This window comes from Homo sapiens, chromosome 3 (assembly GCF_000001405.40).
Source record: "Homo sapiens chromosome 3, GRCh38.p14 Primary Assembly".
Taxonomy (NCBI): domain Eukaryota; kingdom Metazoa; phylum Chordata; class Mammalia; order Primates; family Hominidae; genus Homo; species Homo sapiens.
Window position 1 is genome coordinate 138,725,406 of NC_000003.12, and position 17,942 is coordinate 138,743,347.

The 17,942-nt window shown below is 38.5% G+C and overlaps 1 protein-coding gene across 13 annotated transcripts in view, besides 1 other annotated feature; it reads right to left on the bottom strand.

The window, feature by feature from the left end:
• PIK3CB (phosphatidylinositol-4,5-bisphosphate 3-kinase catalytic subunit beta) overlaps positions 1–17,942 on the bottom strand; it is a 182,231-nt gene that overhangs the window by 72,708 nt on the left and 91,581 nt on the right. For all 13 annotated transcript variants that reach the window (NM_001437290.1, NM_001437286.1, NM_001437289.1 and 10 more), the window contains 4 exons: positions 17,153–17,376; positions 12,302–12,481; positions 9,229–9,399; positions 7,956–8,033 (listed from right to left, as the gene is read on the bottom strand). In NM_001437290.1, coding sequence (NP_001424219.1) covers positions 7,956–8,033; positions 9,229–9,399; positions 12,302–12,481; positions 17,153–17,376 — 653 coding nt within the window. The remainder of the gene's footprint in view (positions 1–7,955; positions 8,034–9,228; positions 9,400–12,301; positions 12,482–17,152; positions 17,377–17,942) is intronic.
• Positions 4,533–5,056: an enhancer, noted in NCBI's record as "NANOG hESC enhancer chr3:138448780-138449303 (GRCh37/hg19 assembly coordinates)". NCBI's record gives its function as "activates a minimal SCP1, AML or CMV promoter by ChIP-STARR-seq in naive H9 embryonic stem cells {active_cell/tissue: H9 hESC(naive)}" and the evidence as "EXISTENCE:reporter gene assay evidence [ECO:0000049][PMID:30033119]".

A 17,942-nucleotide genomic window follows, 5' to 3' on the forward strand; every position in this document is an offset into this window, starting at 1 on the left:
TATTTCCTTAAGTAGTCTTCCTGAACTGTACTCTTTCTCTTATTTTTCTCAAAGTCAGATTGCACAAATGTTAGACTTTCTAGTATTTTCTCACAGGTTCCTGGGGCTCTATCGAATTTTTCTCCCATTTTTCTCTCTGTTGTTCAAACTGGAAAATTTGTATTGATTAATCTTTAAGTTCACTGATCCTTTCCTTTTTCATCACCATTCTGCTATTGGGTCCATTCAGTGTATTTTTAAATTTCAGTTATTATATTTTTTAGTTCTGAATTTTCCATTTGATTCTTCCTTATATCTTCTATTTAATGGCTGAAACTTTCTCCCTCTCCAGTCCCTCCTGCTGATTTGCCCTTAGTTGTTATAGCATTTTCATAACTGCTTTAATGTCTTTGTGAGATAATTCCAACATCTGTGTCATCTCGTCACTGACGTCTATTGAACTATCATTGTCCACACAACTTCAGATTTTCCTCATTCTTTATGTGTCAACTAATTTTGAATTGTATTCCAGATATTTTGTCTATTATGTTATGAGACATTGGGTCTTGTTTATATCCTATGGAGAATGTTGATATTTTTGTTTTGGGGGACCATAGTTAGTTAGGTTCAACAGTTGGAAGTTTCCATGAGCCTTCTGTGAGCTACAGTTCCGATACCAGTTCAGTTTTCAAGTCTTCTTGCAGGGCTATTTGCATCTGTCCCATGTGTGCACTACACATTAACCAGTTTGAGACTTGGCTAATGGAATATGCCACTGTTCAGTTCTCAAAGTATGTAGACTGTTAAGAGCAGATCCTCATATGCACAGCTCAGGAATAAGCTTATAAACACAGATAACTTTAAGAGGTTGCTTTCCTGAGCTTATCTCACTCTGCAATGTTCCAAGTATTTTTTAGTAGGCTGGGGTTCCCCTTTACTTGTTATCCAACCAGAAAGCTGCGGCTTTATTCACTCACACTTCCTGCAACTATGCTAAACACTAGGGGGGTGAGGGAAGGGGAGACTTACTCCATTCTCTTGTATCTACAACTCCTATAATTGAAACGGACATTCAACTCTGAGTCTTAGGCTCTGCCTGTCCCCGCTTCTCCTGCCACTGCCACTGCTACCACCGTTGCTATTGCCACAATACTGTTCAGAGACCGGGGCAATGCAGAAGAGAAAAAAGAAACAAAAAGAGGAGAAAAAGAGGTACAATTCATACATTCTCTGAGAGTTAGAAGACCCCTTTCCCACTAGAGCTATAAACAGCTATAAATAATGTCATCTTCTAGACTTTAGGCAACACTGAGTTCAGGCTTCTGCTGAATATTAATTAAGATGTACACATGAAAGAGGAAAACACTACAAGGCTAGCCAGGCTCGGTGGCTCATGCCTGAAATCCCAGCACTTTGGGAGGCTGAGGCAGAAGGATCACTTGAGCGGAGGAGTTCAAGGCCAACCTGGACAACACAGTGAAATCTCGTCTCTATAAAAAGTCAAAAAAAAAAAAAAATTAGCTGGGTGTGGTGGTGCATGCCTGTAGTCCCAGATATACAGGAGTCTGAGGCAGGAGGGTATCTTGAACCCAGGAAGTCAAGGCTGCAGTGAGCCGTGTTTATCCACTCCACTCCAACCTGGGTGACGGAGCAAGACTGTCTTTAAAAAAACAAAAAACAAACAAAAAGCCCTACAAGGCCAAGGAAAGATTGATCAGGAAGCTATATGCTACAGAATTCCAAGCACTCCCACAGAGATGGAAGATGTTCAAGTGCCAGGGAGGCAGAGTGGTGAGTCAACACTGAACATTTGAGATTTCTGTTATAGACCTCATACAGAGTCATGTGTCCTATATGATCTCTCAGACTGCAAATACGATGGATTAGACGCCTGTGATTAGGTTATACTATATGATACTGTCAGCTTTAAGGAGGGCAGAGAATCCTCAGTGAGACTGACTTATTTGTTGAACCCTTAAAAGACACTCAGCTCTTCCTAGCAAAAGAGTCAAAGAATGAGAAAATTTGATGCGTGAGAAATTTTCCAGACTTAAAAGTTAGACAGGGCCACAGGGCAAGGATCTGAGAGCTGTCTCTAGTTACAGAGAGAAGACCCCAGCCAACAGCCAGCAGGGAATTGGAGACTTCAGGCCTACAATCACATGGAACAGAACTGGGCCAACAACTTGAATCAGTTCAGAAGCAGACTCTTTCAGAGCTTTCAAAAAGGAGTGCAGCCAAAGTACACCTAGATTGCTGAGCTAGTAAGTAAATGTTGTTTTAAGTTTATGGTATTTTGTTATCCAGCAACAGAAAACTAACATAAGGGACTACTATGAACTTTATGCCAATAAACAACAACAAAACAAATTCTCTGAAAGACAAAAATTACCAAAATTGACACAAAAGAAACAGAAAATCTGTCTACCATACCCATTAAATAAATTTTGAATTTCTTTCTTTTTTTGTTTTGTTTTGTTTTGTTTTTTTGAGATGGAGTTTCGCTCTTGCTGCCCAGGCTGGAGTGCAATGGTGTGACCTCAGCTCACTGCAACCTCCGCCTCCCAGGTTTCAGTGTTAGCCAGGATGGTCTCGATCTCCTGACCTCGAGATCCGCCCGCCTCGGCCTGTTGGTTAGGCTGGTCTCGAACTCCTGACCTCAGGTGATCCACCCGCCTCGGCCTCCCAAAGTTCTGGGAATGTAGGCATGAGCCACGACTCCTGGCTATAAATTAAGTTTCTAATTAAAAACCTTCCCATAAAGAAAACTTAAGGCTCAGCTGGCATGGAGTAAGTTCAATTAAATATTTAAGCAATAAATAATACCAGTCCAACTGGTATTTTCTGAACGTAAACTTGTTCAGAAAATAGAGAAGGCTTCTCACCTCATTATATGACCAACGTTATTCTAATACCAAAATCAAAGAAAGACATTACAAGTCAAGAACACACCAATATTCCTCAATTTTCCTTATGAGCATAGACCATAAAATCCATAACAAAATATTAATAAGTCAAATTTAATAATGTATAAAAAGGCTAACACATCTTGACCGAGTGAACATTATTTCAGAAAAGTAAGGTTGGTTTCAACTTTTGAAAACCAATGGATGCCAGGCGCAGTGGCTCACGCCTGTAATCACAGCACTTTGGGAGGCCGAGGCGGGTGGATCATGAGGTCAGGAGATCGAGACCATCCTGGCTAACATGGTGAAACCCCGTCTCTACTAAAAAAAATACAAAACATTAGCCAGGCATGGTGGCGGGTGCCTATAGTCCCAGCTACTCAGGAGGCTGAGGCAGGAGAATGGCATGAACCCGGGAGGGGGAGCTTGCAGTGAGCCGAGATTGAGCCACTGCACTCCAGCCTGGGTGGCAGAGTGAGACTCCGTCTCAAAAAAAAAAAAAAGAAAACCAATGAATTAAAATATACAAATCATCTCAAAAAATGCAGAAAAAGTGATTAACTTTTTCTTAAAGGATAAAAATTTTCAGCAAACTAGGAAGAGAATTTCTTGAATAAGGGGCATCTATGAAAAAAACTACATTATATTTAAAGTTGAAAGACTTAATGAATGCTGTCCTTTAAGATAAAGAACAAAATCAAGATGGCAGGCTGGGCATAGTAGCTCACATCTGTAATCCCAGCATTTTGGAAGGCTGAGGTGGGTGGATCACCTGAGGTCAGGAGTTTGAGACCAGGCTGGCCAACATGGCGAAACCCTGTCTCTACTAAAAATACAAAAATTAGCTGGGTGTGGTGGCAGGTGCCTATAATTCCAGCTACACCGGACACTGAGGCATGAGAATCACTTGAACCCGGGAGGCGGAGGTTGCAGTGAGGTGAGATTGCGCCACTGCACTCCAGCCTGGGTGACAGAGTGAGACTCTCTCAGAAAAAAAAAAAAAAGAAGGTCTACTATAATGGTTAATTTTATGTGTCAACTTGATTAGGTCACAGGGTACCCTGGTATTTGGTCAAACATTTTTCTGGGTGTTACTAATGAGATATTTGGTCAAACATTATTCTGGGTGATTTTGGATGTGATTAACATTGTGATCAGTAGACTGGGTAAAGCAGATTGCCCTCCCTGATGTAGGCTAGCCTCATCCAACTAGCTGAATACCTGAAGAGAACAAAGACTGACCCTCCCCAAGTAAGACAGAATTCTTCCTGCTTGACTGCCTTGTAACTGGGACATTGGCTTTTTTCCCTGCCTTGGGACTCTAACTGAAACATTGGCTCTTCCTGGGTTTGAGTCAAGCCTACCAGCCTTCAGATAGGAACTACACCCACTGGCATTCCTGGTTCTCAGGCTTTCAGATTCAGACTGGAACTCAACCACTGGCTCTCTTGGGTCTCCAGTTGCCCACCTCCATAATCATTTAAGTCAATTTCTTATAATAAATCTTCTATATTTTTTGCTTATTTATATGTGATAATATAGATATAGCTATACATATTGTATCCTATTGGCTCTGTTTCTCTGGAGAACCCTGAGTAATCCATTTACCCTTATCACTTCTATTTGAAATTGTACTGGGATTCTTAGCCAGTGCATACAGGAAAGAAAAAAGTTTGGAAAGAAAGATGTAAAGCTGCCACCTTTTTTCAGATTTTGCTTTAACATTCTACTGGAGCTCCTCACCTGTGTAGCAAGGTATATCTACAGGAAAATCATGTCATAATTACATTTAATGTACTCAAATTCAACTATATAATCCTGCTGGGGAGAAGAAAGAAAAAGAGAACTACAGTGCTAGGTACGGTGGGGTGAGGTACATACATTAAATACTACCTGTCATTAAGCCCATTAATCCTCTCCATGAACATAACAACGGCAAACAATAGAATCAATCAAGCTTGATACCTGATAGAAGTGGCAAAACATATGGACATAAAATGTCAATGACTTTATTGGGTTTCTGACCACTGACAAAGGAATAACGCATAATGCTTGAGAAAAAATAAAACACGAATGAAGGCTTCTTGGATATTCTTTAGGAAGAAATTAAGTAAAGGGCTGCAGAGAAATACCAACCATAAACAAATCAAAGAACTGATAAATTATCTACAGAAGACAAATATGATAACCTGCAAATGGGAAGAACAAGCAGAAATTCCCATTTGTTACTACGTAGATTCTATATCGATACCTATAAATTACTAAACAAAACCATATATATATATAATATTCCATATGACTTGTGGGTAGATTTGACTCCATGTGATTTTTGCCTTTAAAAATGAAATCTGGTCTGGCATGGTGGCTTGTGCCTGTAATCCCAGTGCTTTGAGAGGCCAAAGCAGGAGGACTGCTTGAGGCTAGGAGTTCAAGACCAGCATTGGCAACATAGCAAGACCCTATCTCTATAAAAATAGAAATAAAAATAAAAATTAGCTGGAAGTGATGGTGTATACCTGTAGTCCTAGCTACTTGGGAGGCTGAGGTAGGAGGATCGCTTGAGACCAGGAGTTCAAGGTTACAGTGAGCTATGATCATGCCACTCAACTAGTGAGGGTGACAAAGTAATACCCTGTCTCTAAATAAATAATTTTTTTAAAAAAAGAATAAAATCCTCAAGGAAGTCTACTATTTACTAATCCAGAGGACTGTCCAGCACATATTATAAAGTGAATAAATCAAGTTATAGAACAATGTACATAGTATCATCCCTTTATTAACAAACCATTTGACAAATCACAGAAATAAACACAACCAAAACCCCTTTAATTCCATATCATATGTTTATATATATTTTTATAAACCTGGAGGACATTCACAAAGCTTGTTAACTTTGAATCCCTTATGATGGTAAGGAGAGACCAGTACCTTTTTTCTTAATCATGTTTGCACTTTTTCTTTTCCTTTCTTTTTTTTGGGGGAGATTGGGTCTCACTCTGTCACCGGGGTGGAAGGCAGTGACACAATCTCAGCTCAGGGGCAGCCTCGACCTCCCAGGCTCCAGCGATCCTCCCACCTCAGCCTCCCTCATAGCTGGGACTACAGACATATGCCACCATACCCAGCTAAGCTTTGTATTTTTTGTAGAGATGGGATTTCGCCGTGTTCCCCAGGCTGGTCTTGAACTCCTGGACTCAAATGATCTGCCCGCCTTGGCCTCCCAAAGTGCTAGGATTACAGGTGTGAGCTACCACGCCCAGCCTGTTTGCACTTTTTCATTTGTTGCAACAATTAGTCTTGTTATACTTTTGCAATTAAAAAATTTAAATTAAAAGATAAAAACAGGATTACCACTAAAATAGAAAACAGAGGTTAACCGGCCATAAACATGCTCATTAAAAAGAAAAATCTAGGCTGGGCGCAGTGGCTCACACTTGTAATCCCAGCACTTTGGGAGGCCACAGCAGGCGGATCACGAGGTCAGGAGTTCGAGACCAGCCTGGCCAATATGGTGAAACCCCATCCCTACTAAAAATACAAAAATTAGCCAGGTGTGGTGGCGTGTGCCTGTAGTCCCAGTTACTGGGGAGGCTAAGGTAGAAGAATTGCTTGAACCCGGGAGGCAGAGGTTGCAGTGAGCCGAGTTCATGCCACTGCGCTCTAGCCTGGGCAACAGAGTGAGACTCCATCTCAAAAAAAAAAAAGAAAAATCTAGCTGAGGATATAAAAGCAAAGCCTTTATTTTAATGATAGCTACTCAAAGAATCTTCTTCTAAAATTGCATATATTTAAGGTGTACAACATTGATGTTTTAATATAGAATGAAGTGCTTGCTACACAGTCAAGTAAATCAACATATCCATTACCACACACACTTTTCTTTTCTGAGGAGCGGTAAGAGTACCTAAAATCTACTTTCCTAGCAAATTTCCTGTATACAATATTATTAACTATAGTCTTCATGTTGTATATTAGATCTCCAGAATTATTCAACCAAGATAACTCTTTGTACCTTCAAATTATTTCTCTCAACTTTTTTCACAGCCTCACCCACTTGTCTAACACCAAAGGCGGTAACCACCCTTCTACTCTCCCCCAAAATCTTTAATACCCATGTACAAAAGCAAGACATTGGTAATTTTTGGCAAGGGGCTCCTGAATATATCTTCAAGCAACAAACATTTCAAACAAACCAAATCTCTTTCTTGGATCACAAAAATTATTCACTTAATTTCCTACCCAGCAAATTAGGGAAAATAAATGCTTTATACTCTGAGACAAAATGCTTTGTTAAGTCTTTATTTAAATGTATGGGATTGAGCAATAAACCCCCATGTGTTAACAACTTGTGGTCCATAACGTAGTAATCTATTTTCTTCCAGGAAATGGTATTACATGTTCTCTGTGCTCAGTTTAAAAGGAAAGAAAAGAAAAAAAAAAAAAAAAAAGACTGAAAGAGGGGTTCAGTGCAGCTCTAGGCAAGGCTGAGAGAGGAGAGTAAGCTTGCATAAAAACATGAGATCTATAGTTTTGGCTTAACTTTCACTTGCTGAAATTTAACATATTCATCATCACATATAGTTACCTTTGTTTTTTTTGAGTAAGGAGTGGTAAGAGTACCTAAAATCTACTCTCCTAGCAAATTCCTGTATAAAATATCATTAACTATAGTCTTCGGGTTGTACATTAGCTCTCTAGAATTATTCAACCAAGATAACTCTACTTTGCACCTTTGAATTATTTCTCTCAACTTTCTTCACAGTCTTACCCATCTATATTATATATTTCTTCTATATAATATATAGAAGAAATATGTAATATATACTGGAAAAATAATGTCAATCTTTCCAGTAGATCTCTAATGATTCAAAAGTCTTTGAATTTTAAAACAAAATTTTAAAATTTTAAAACAAAAATTCTCAATAGTCTTATAATAAATTACCATATTCTATATCATGTAATTGATCAATATGGGTAAAATTCAATCTCCAATGTGACATTATTGAGCATATCAGTGAGTTATTCAAATACTGGAGCGGATGGCAAATTCAAATCTTAGTGGGTACTCACTTTTACAGTTTCCTCTGTGTTAAGTTTATTTCCCTTAACCAAGACAATTTGGAAAGGGTTGTTATTTTCCCAAACATGCTGTAAAAGAATAAAATAAATACAAATTATTTTAATGAAAGAAATGAATATTCTATGCTAGCAATGCAATTGTCATCAGTTCTAATGTCTATTGGCAAAACTATGAAAATAGAGCTCTAAACTAACAACTGAAAGTCACATATACTAAATTAAGCATTGACCGGGCGCGGTGGCTCACGCCTGTAATCCCAGCACTTTGGGAGGCTGAGGCAGGTGGATCATGAGGTCAGGAGATCGAGACCATCCTGGCTAACACGGTGAAACCCCGTCTCTACTAAAAATACAAAAAATTAGCTGGGCATGGTGGCGGGCGCCTGTAGTCCCAGTTACTTGGGAGGCTGAGGCAGGAGAATGACATGAACCCGGGAGGCGGAGCTTGCAGTGAGCCAAGATTGCGCCACTGCACTCCAGCCTGGGCGACAGAGCAAGACTCTGTCTCAAAAAAAAAATTAATTAATTAATTAAGCATTATAACCCCTAGCACTTGGCTTTCATGGCAAAACATAGGCAGCATTCCACTAATGCTAAGAGATTTCACTAAATTAAAAAGCATTAACAAATAGTAATAAAAGCTTTGTATAAATTAAGAGCTGACCATTTATATTAATATAGAAATAACATCATCAAGGAGTAGTTCAATATACAATTTGTGACGACTGAGTAACTGACTAAAAAGTATTAACTGTTCAAATAAAGACAAAGTTAAAATTTGCTTTATACAAATATATTACATTCTGAAAAACAATAGTGCCCTTCATATATGTTTAGTACTAAAAGAATTCAGTATTAAGAAGGCAGGCAAATTATACCAAAAATACTACCATAGTTAAGCTGATAGAAATGAAATATACTGGTTAATTCAATTATTTCTGCACATCTAACTTTTCTACTAGGATGTCTCCAATTACTCATTGAAGTCCTATATTTAAATCAAAATCTCTAATTTGATGGCATTTTTCTTCGGCAGAAAAAGACATCAAAAATATAAACGGCATATTTACATTTAATTGTGGCTTGAGTAAAAATAATAGTATCTAGAAAGATAATTTTTAAATAAATGGTGATCGATTTTTGGCAAATATGTATTGGTTTTCACAGAAGGAGAAGTGAGCAAAGGAAATATGTGTGAAACTTATGTAAACTAACACAATCACATGGCTTTTGGGGTTACTAAAGGTTCAGAAATAAAACTTACAGAAATAATTCGTGTTTTCTTTGGTGGTAATGGAAGAGGAAGATTAGATGAATTTCGATTTATGGCAGCCTCTATGGCAATCATTTCTTGTTCATACATTTTCTTGATCTTGCAGCATTCCACAAGTATAAAATGGGGCAGGGCTCTGTTCATCACACAGTTCCGGATATACTATAGGGGCAAGAAAGGGGAAGGTATTGATTTTCATGCCAACACCTAAATCAATAGAATAAAATGAAGCTGAACAACACTATATCAAATGCACTGTGAAAGTATGTCTTAAACCACAGCAGAATATCAAGAAATTAAAAAAAAAAAATTTTTTTTTTTTTTTTTTGAGACAGGGTCTATGTTGCCCAGGCTGGAATGCAGTGACACGATCACAGCTCACTGCAGCCTCAATCTCCTGGGCTAAAGCAATCCTCCCACCTCAGCCTCTGGAGTACCTGGGACTACAGGCACACACCACCATGCCCAGCCAATTTTTATATTTTTTGTAGAGACAGGGTTTTGCCATGTTACCCAGGCTGGTCTTGAACTCCTGAGCTGAAGTGATCTGCCTACCTTGACCTCCCAAAGTGCTAGGATTACAGGTGTGAGCCACCAAGCCCAGCCTAAGCATATGAGAATTTTAAATCACAATACAAAAAATAGCTATCATTAACTGAACACCTAAGTACCTAAAGAAATGAGTTAGATGATTATTGTATGTTACAGCTAATCTCATTACACTCATTTAACATATTAAAGAAATGAAACTCAGAAGGGTTAAGTTGCACACCTAGTATCTGTAAAACCTAGATTTAAACCCATTTGTCTAACACTAAAGTCATACTTCAGCCATACTTTCAGCTTGGCTAGAAAAGCTGAATACGTGGTTCGCATGTGGCAGATTCACACTTTCTATGGATCCCTGAGATGGCCCCTTTCCATCACAGAGCTCTAGGCAAGTATTACCAGCCGTCTTCCCATCAAAAACCTACCGATCATCCCAGTTTGATGTTCTATTTTCACAAAACTAGAATGACTCTCCAGAGGCATATAAGAAAAGGGGTGATTATTCATATTACCAAAGATTCCTAACAAAGTGAATAGGAATCCAATGTATTCCTCAGAAGAATGAATTTCCTATACAGATCCAGAGTGTGATTCAATGTATCGTAATTCAATTCAGAACCATTAAAAATACATTTTTGTCAGAGAAAAAAAACTTCCAGAATGTCTCTCAGAAGTTATATATGATATTATGATAAATATATTCATCCAAAAACTTTTCACTATGAAAGATCCATTTCTCTCACATTCCTTTGCCTACACTGTATATTCTCTCTCTCTCTCTCTTTTGTACAGGGTCTCTCCTGTCTAACCCTGCACAAAAACACATACATGCTTCTGTTTTTCTTTATAATAATAGAGGATAATGCTGGTAAAATATACATTCTCCTTTACACCTCTTAAGGTAAAAAGAAATGTTAAATTAAAGAAACAGAAATCTACTTGAATGATGGCAGAACATGAAGAAAAGTCAGTACTTCTATGTTGCCCACCAAGCATTTTTCATCTTGTTTCTTCTTATGGACTAGAGTTCAACAGCTTACTATCAGAATACCACAACTCCCAAAGCTGTGCACATAAGTTATAACTGCTCCTGGACCTTATATGTACTAAACCACAAAAATTGAGGGCCACACCAGAAACCTGAGAAGAGGTGTAACATCATGTTATCTGCTAATAAATTGCAGCTCCATATTCTCAAACACATATTACTTTATAATTGGCATGCCTATACCCCTCTTGTTTAAACAACAACAACAATAATATCACAAAATAACAAGACTTTCCTAAAATTCTGTAACTACTAACCTCTAACTGGGCACTTATAATAATATTCCTTACATAATGACTATTTTTTAGTCTCCAAGATATTTCAACAAAAACATCTTCAAGTTACTTGAAGGCAAAGCCAAGGACCTAGTCTTTAAACAGTATACCTTATAGGGAGAGGGGTGCTGCACTGCACATAGCATATTTAAACTCCACTTTACTCCAAAAATAATCTGGGGCAATTCAGTGCCGTATAGAAGCATATTCTCAAAGAATTCTTAATTAAATGAAAATAAATAAATACCCGAATGATTAATAAAGGCTTTTGAGAATGGTCAAACCTAATGCCTGCAAAATTCTTGCCATTCATGGAAGTAACAAAAAAGGGGCAAGGGAAATTCCACGCATAAATATTTCAGACTGGAATTGAAAAGTTTTCCTTTAGTTAGCTAATGGATAATCACAAATAAGTTTTTATACAATTCAATGGATGACCATTTAATCGATTTTTAAATACTTTACCTCCCCCAGAATATTTCACGTTTATACTATATGATGAAATAGAAAGCAGCTATAAGTGTTAAAAAAATTCATAATGATATAAGACAATAATTATAAGGCTAACTAAAACAATCAAAACAGCCGAATGAGCCGGGCACAGTGGCTTATGGCTGTAATCTCAGCACTTGGAAAGGCCAAGCAAGTTGGGCGGATCACTTGAGGCCAGGAATTTGAGACCAGCTTGGCCAAGATGGTGAAACCCCATCTCTACTAAAAATACAAAAAGAAGCTGGGCATGGTGGCGCACACCTGTAATCCCAACTACTCGGGTGGCTGAGGCACAAGAATTGCTTGAACCTGGGAGATGAAGGTTGCAGTGAGCCAAGACTGCATGCCACTGCACTCCAGCCTAGGCGACAGAGCAACACTCTGTCTCAAAAAAAAAAAAAAAAAAAAAAAAAAAAGCAAAGCAGAATACAAACATATACATACACATATTTGTCTGTACAATCATTATGCTAAAATACAAACATAACTGCAAAAAGTGACAAAAACATGCCAAAAGGGTAACAATGATTATCTCAGAGGTAAGTACTATTATGAATATTTACTATTTAATACTGTATAATTTTCTGTATATTCCAAATGTTCCAGTGTGGGAACACATTTTTAAAGTCAGAAATAAAATATATATATATATATATATACTCATAGACTTTTCTGGTAAATTAATAGTTAATATACATACCTGGAACTGAATTAGTGGATGATCACCAAAAACATATTCTACTCTCCCGCTGACTTGCAACACATAATCATAGGGGCTAACTTCATCTTCCTTCCCATGAATAGTCAAACGTTTTTGGATTGCCAATTCATTTACTTTGATAGGATTCATATTAGGAGACACTTGAAAGCTAAACACGTCCTGAAGGGGGAGGGAGATGGGGAAAAAAGCAGTAAATGTTATATTTATGCTGAAAAATCACATTACAATCATTATGTAATAATATGTACAAATGTACATAATATTTATATGGGTACATCCTTAACAAATTTTATATGGATGCATATTTAGAATGTAGACAAGTTTACTGAAAGATAAAGATTTCTGATAATTTGAAAGTCATCTTACTGTATTCATAGTGCACAGCTTCCACAGGTAAGATTAATATTTAACTAAAGGTTACCATTAGGCATTTTCCAATGAACATCTCATCTTTTTTTTTTTGAGACAGAGTCTCACACTGTCCCCCAGGCTGGAGCGCAATGGCTCGATCTTGGCTCACTGCAACCTCTGTCTCCCAGGTTCAAGCAATTCTCCTGTCTCAGCCTCCTGAGGAGCTAGGATTACAGGCGTGCACCACCACGCCTGGCTAATTTTTTGTATCTTTAGTAGAGACAGGGTTTCACCATGTTGTCCAGGCTAGTCTCAAACTCCTGACCTTGTGATCCGCCTGCCTCAGCCTCCCAAAGTGCTGGGATTACAGGCACGAGCCACCATGCCCGGCCACATACTGCAGCTATATTTTGTATATATATTTTTAAAAACTTACACATTTCTCACTGGTAAGAAGACAGCCATACTTTATACGAATTAAACCATAAATTAGCAATTACGTCCAATTTTAGAGACATGTAAATAGAAACATATAGAAATTCTAATCAATTAAAAATGAAGATATAGTTTGGAATCGATATAGCATTACCAAATCTGTTCATCATAAGACTGAATGATACAGTTAACACCTGAATCCTCTCATAATCTAGCAAGGTAATTTTTCATTATATGATCATATACTAAAGATATAAGAAGCTATCTCCCAAAGCAACCAACTGCTACTCTGAACAACTAACTTATTGCTATTCTCTATACTGACCTGACATCAATTCCATAATATTTTCCACTAATTTAATTTAAATAAATCACTCCCCTGAATTTAAGATGTCTTACATTCAAACTTTTAAAAACTAAACTTACTATTTCACATCTATTTTTTCCAGTATTTTACTTGTTCTTCTGTGTTTTCTATGAGTTGGTGCCTGCCATAGACTGAATGTTTGTGTCTCCCCTGGCGAATTCATATGTAGAAACCTAATCTCTAATGTGATGATATTTGGAAGTGAAAACTTTGGGATGTGATTAGGTCATGAGGGCAGAGTCCTCATGAATGGGATTAGTGTCCTTATAAAAGAGACCCCAGAGGCCGTGCACGCTGGCTTACATCTGTAATCCCAGCACTTTGGGAGGCCGAGGTGGGCAGATAATGAGGTCAGGAGATCATGACCAGCCTGGCCAACATGGTGAAACCCTGTCTCTACTAAAAATACAAAAATTAGCTGGGCATGGTGGTGCATGCCTGTAGTCCCAGCTACTTGGGAGGCTAGGCAGGAGAATCACTTGAACCAGGGAGTCGGAGGTTGTAGTGAGCTGAGATTGTGTCACTGCACTCCAGCCTGGCGACAGAGCGAGACTCCGACTCAAAAAAATAAATAAAATAAAATAAAATAAATAAAAAAGACCCCAGAGAGCTTCATCTCCTCTTCTGCCATGTAAGGACATAGCAAGAAGACAGGTACGTATGGACCAGGAAGCAATCCCTCATAATGAACTAGTGCCTTGATCTAGTACTTCCCAGCTTTCAGAATTCTGAGAAACAGGCCAGGTGCAGTGGATCACACCTATAATCCCAGCATCTTGGGAGGCCGAGGCGGGCGGATCACTTAAGCTCAGGAGCTCAAGACCAGCCTGGCAAACACGGTGAAACCCTGCCTCTACTAAAAATATAAAAAATTAGCCAGGCATGGTGGCCCCTGCCTGTAGTCCCAGCTACTCGGGAGGCTGAGGCAGGAGAATCCCTGAACCAGGGAGTTGGAAGTTGCAGTGAGCCGAGATCGTGCCACTGCACTCCAGCCTGGTGTCAGAGTGAGACTCCATCTCAAAAAATAAAAAAAAAAAAAATAAAAGAGACCCCAGAGAGCTTCCTCTCCTCTTCTGCTACGTAAGGACATAGCAAGAAGATAGTTATGTATGCACCAGGAAGCAATCCTCATAAGACACGGAATGAACTGGTGCCTTGATCTTGGACTTCCCAGCTTCCAGAATTGTGAGAAACAGGCCAGGTGCAGTGGCTCACACCTGTAATCCCAGCACCTTGGGAGGCCAAAGCGGGTGGATCACTTAAGCTCAGGAGTTCAAGACCAGCCTGGCAAACACAGTGAAACCCTGCCTCTACTAAAAATACAAAAAATTAGCATGGCGTGGTGGTGCCTGTCTATAGTCCCAGCTACTCAGGAAGCTGAGTCAGGGAATCCCTTGAACCTGAAACGGGGCAGTTGCAGTGAGCCTAGCTCATGCTACTGCACTGCAGCCTGGACGACAAAGTGAAACTCCGTCTCAAAACAAAACAGAACAAAACAAACAAAAAACCCTACAATTGTGAGAAATAAATTTCTGTTGTTTATAAGCCACCCAGTCTATGGTATTCTGTTACAGCAGCCCAAACAGACTAAGACAGTGTCACACACATCAAAGAACACAGGCTAGGATGCTAGGAATCATTTTGAGAAGTCGCATGCCTCCTCTTTCCTCCTTGACCTCACCTCCCAGTAAGACACCAATGATCTTATATCCTAATAGTTTTCCCATATTTCAAGCAGTTGTTCATTATCACTTTCAATGACTTCATGAAATATTGTACCTTTTTTTTTTGAGACAAGGTATCCCTCTGTCGCCCAAGCTGAAGTGTGGTGGCGCAATCTGGGCTCGCTGCAAACTCCGCCTTCTGGGATCAAGCAATCCTCCCACCTCATCCTCCTGGGTAGCTGGGACTACAGATGTGCACCACCATGCCCAGGTAATTTTTGTACAGATGGGGTTTCACCATGTTGCCCAACCTGGTCTTGAACTCCTGGGTTCAAGAGATCCTCCCTGTTCAGCCTCCCAAAGTGGCTGTGCGCCACCTCACCTGGTAAAGCCAGTGTTCTCAAGTTGAACTCTCATCACCTTTCAACAGTAAATTCCCCTATTCTACCTCTCTTGACCACGGAGAATTCCTTAAACAGTATTGTAAATTTGACCTTGACATTTTAATGATACTCAAATCTTGACTTAAATTGAACTTTAGACTCAACGTATCTCAGGACAGAATGACAAATGGTGTTTTTCCCTAGATAAACTTACTTGTTTAGAGAAAATGCCTGAAGGCAGAATCTTTTTTTCACATCTGTCCTAACAAATACTTATTAACATGTTGTCTAAAAGGAGGCAAAACTGGGTAAAACCAGAGACACCTGGATGAAATCCTGGCTCTACCACTGACCAGCTATGAGGACTGGCACAAAACACTAAACTTGTCTTCCTTTCAGTCTCTTCACTGTAAGATGGGGGAAAGACAACAACGCTTGTAAGGTTGGTGTGGGAACTGGAGAATATATGAAAAATAAGCCATACCAGGAATTATGCAGAATAAGTGCTCAACACAGAACAACGACTGTTAAGTCATTGAGCACTTACCCTGCATAATTGGTTGTTGTCATTGCTATGGTTATTCACAGTAATTCAAGAACAAAACAAAACAAAACATCTGGCTGTGTGCAGTGGCTCATGCTTGTAATCCCAGCACTTTGGGAAGCTGAGGTGGGTGGATCATCTGAGGTCAGAAGTTTGAGACTAGCCTGCCAACATGATGAAACCCCATCTCTACTAAAAATACAAAAATTAGCCAGGTGTGATGGCAGGCGCCTGTAATTCCAGCTACTCAGGAAGCTGCGGCAAGAGAATTGCTTGAGACTGGGGGGCTGAGGTTGCAGGGAGCCAAGATTGCGCCATCGCACTCCAGCCTGGGCAACAGAGCAAGACTCCGTCTAAAAAAAAAAAAAAAAATCCTTGAGTTTCTACCTTAATCTAATGCCAGACCCTAGATGCTAGAACCACTATACTTGATACAACAGTAGTAGCATCATCTAGTTTGTATAATTGCTATGAACATTCAGAAATGGATGGGCTGTATATCAACTCTATTATAATGCCTACTTCCATATCATTAATTAATTCACATAGTCACAGAATGCAAATTTAAGAATATGGAAACAAAGAGACCATTTTGATTAGGCTTTCATTTCTACCGATGGGGGAGAAAAGTCACATGAGAAAAAAATATTTCCAATAAGGAACACTATCTAGACCAGCAACTGGCAAACTTTCTCTGTAAAGGACCAGGTTTGGCAAACAACATACAACACAGTGGTCTCTGTTGCATATTCTTTTTACTTCTTCTTCTTTTAAACATCCCTTTACAAATCTTTGAGGTTTTTTTCTCTTTTTAACATCCCTTTAAAACTGTAAAAACCAATTAAACAGTCCAGTTTGCCAATCCCATTCTAAATCACCATTCCACTGTATCAAAACAGATACGTGTACAGAATATCACTTTAGACTATTATATATAATCCTAAATACATTTCTATCTGAAATATAAAATTGTTCTTTCTAATAGTGTTTGCTAGGCAAGCGACAGACACTTCTAAAAATGCAGTTGTATTCGGGTAAAAATGAGAAATTTATTACAAAATATTTCTTAAAAAAATATAATCCTACCTGGCAGTTTTCAAAATGAACAGCTACGATGAGCTTTCCCCCATAAAGTTTATCTTCTAAGTTTTCAGGGATGGATGGTTCATGCTCTGGTGGATATGTTTGTTTTAGCCAGTCCATCCAAGACAATCCCACAAGTGACAGGATTTTTTCCTCGCTGAATTTGCGCATTTTTCTTCGAAATTCATTTACTTCAGGATCCTTCAAGGAATCAAATTCATGCAGACCTAAACACATTTTTTAAAGGTGTCATTTTCAGTAACTAACAATAATAAAAGAATATAGAAAGAATACAAAGTATATTCAACAAAAACTAACTTGGATGTTGGATGCTTGGCTTTTATCAAGCAGATGAAACTAGGGAGGAAAATACCATTAAAGATCAAAAAACCCAGATAAAACAATAAATCTCATGTACAGAAGACAAACATACAATTATATTTTTTTAAAAAATACAACTCAAAACCTCATAAAGAAATGTAGTTTGCCTACCAGTTTTACAAAGTAATTCACAATACATATTTTAAAGCCACACATAAAAGATTCATTGTTTTTATTTACAAACCAAGTATTAATAAATCACATTTAAAATATGTGAGAAAGACTAAGAATCTGAAAAACAGTTTCAATACTATATTAGAAGAAAACTAAGAATCAAGTTATTATTTCACCAAAACTTGGTATACTATGGGAATGGCTACAATACACAGGGGCAGAGGGAATACGGAAAATCTCTGTATCTTCCTCTCAATTTTGCTGTGAACCTAAAACTGTTCATAGTCTTTAAAAAAAC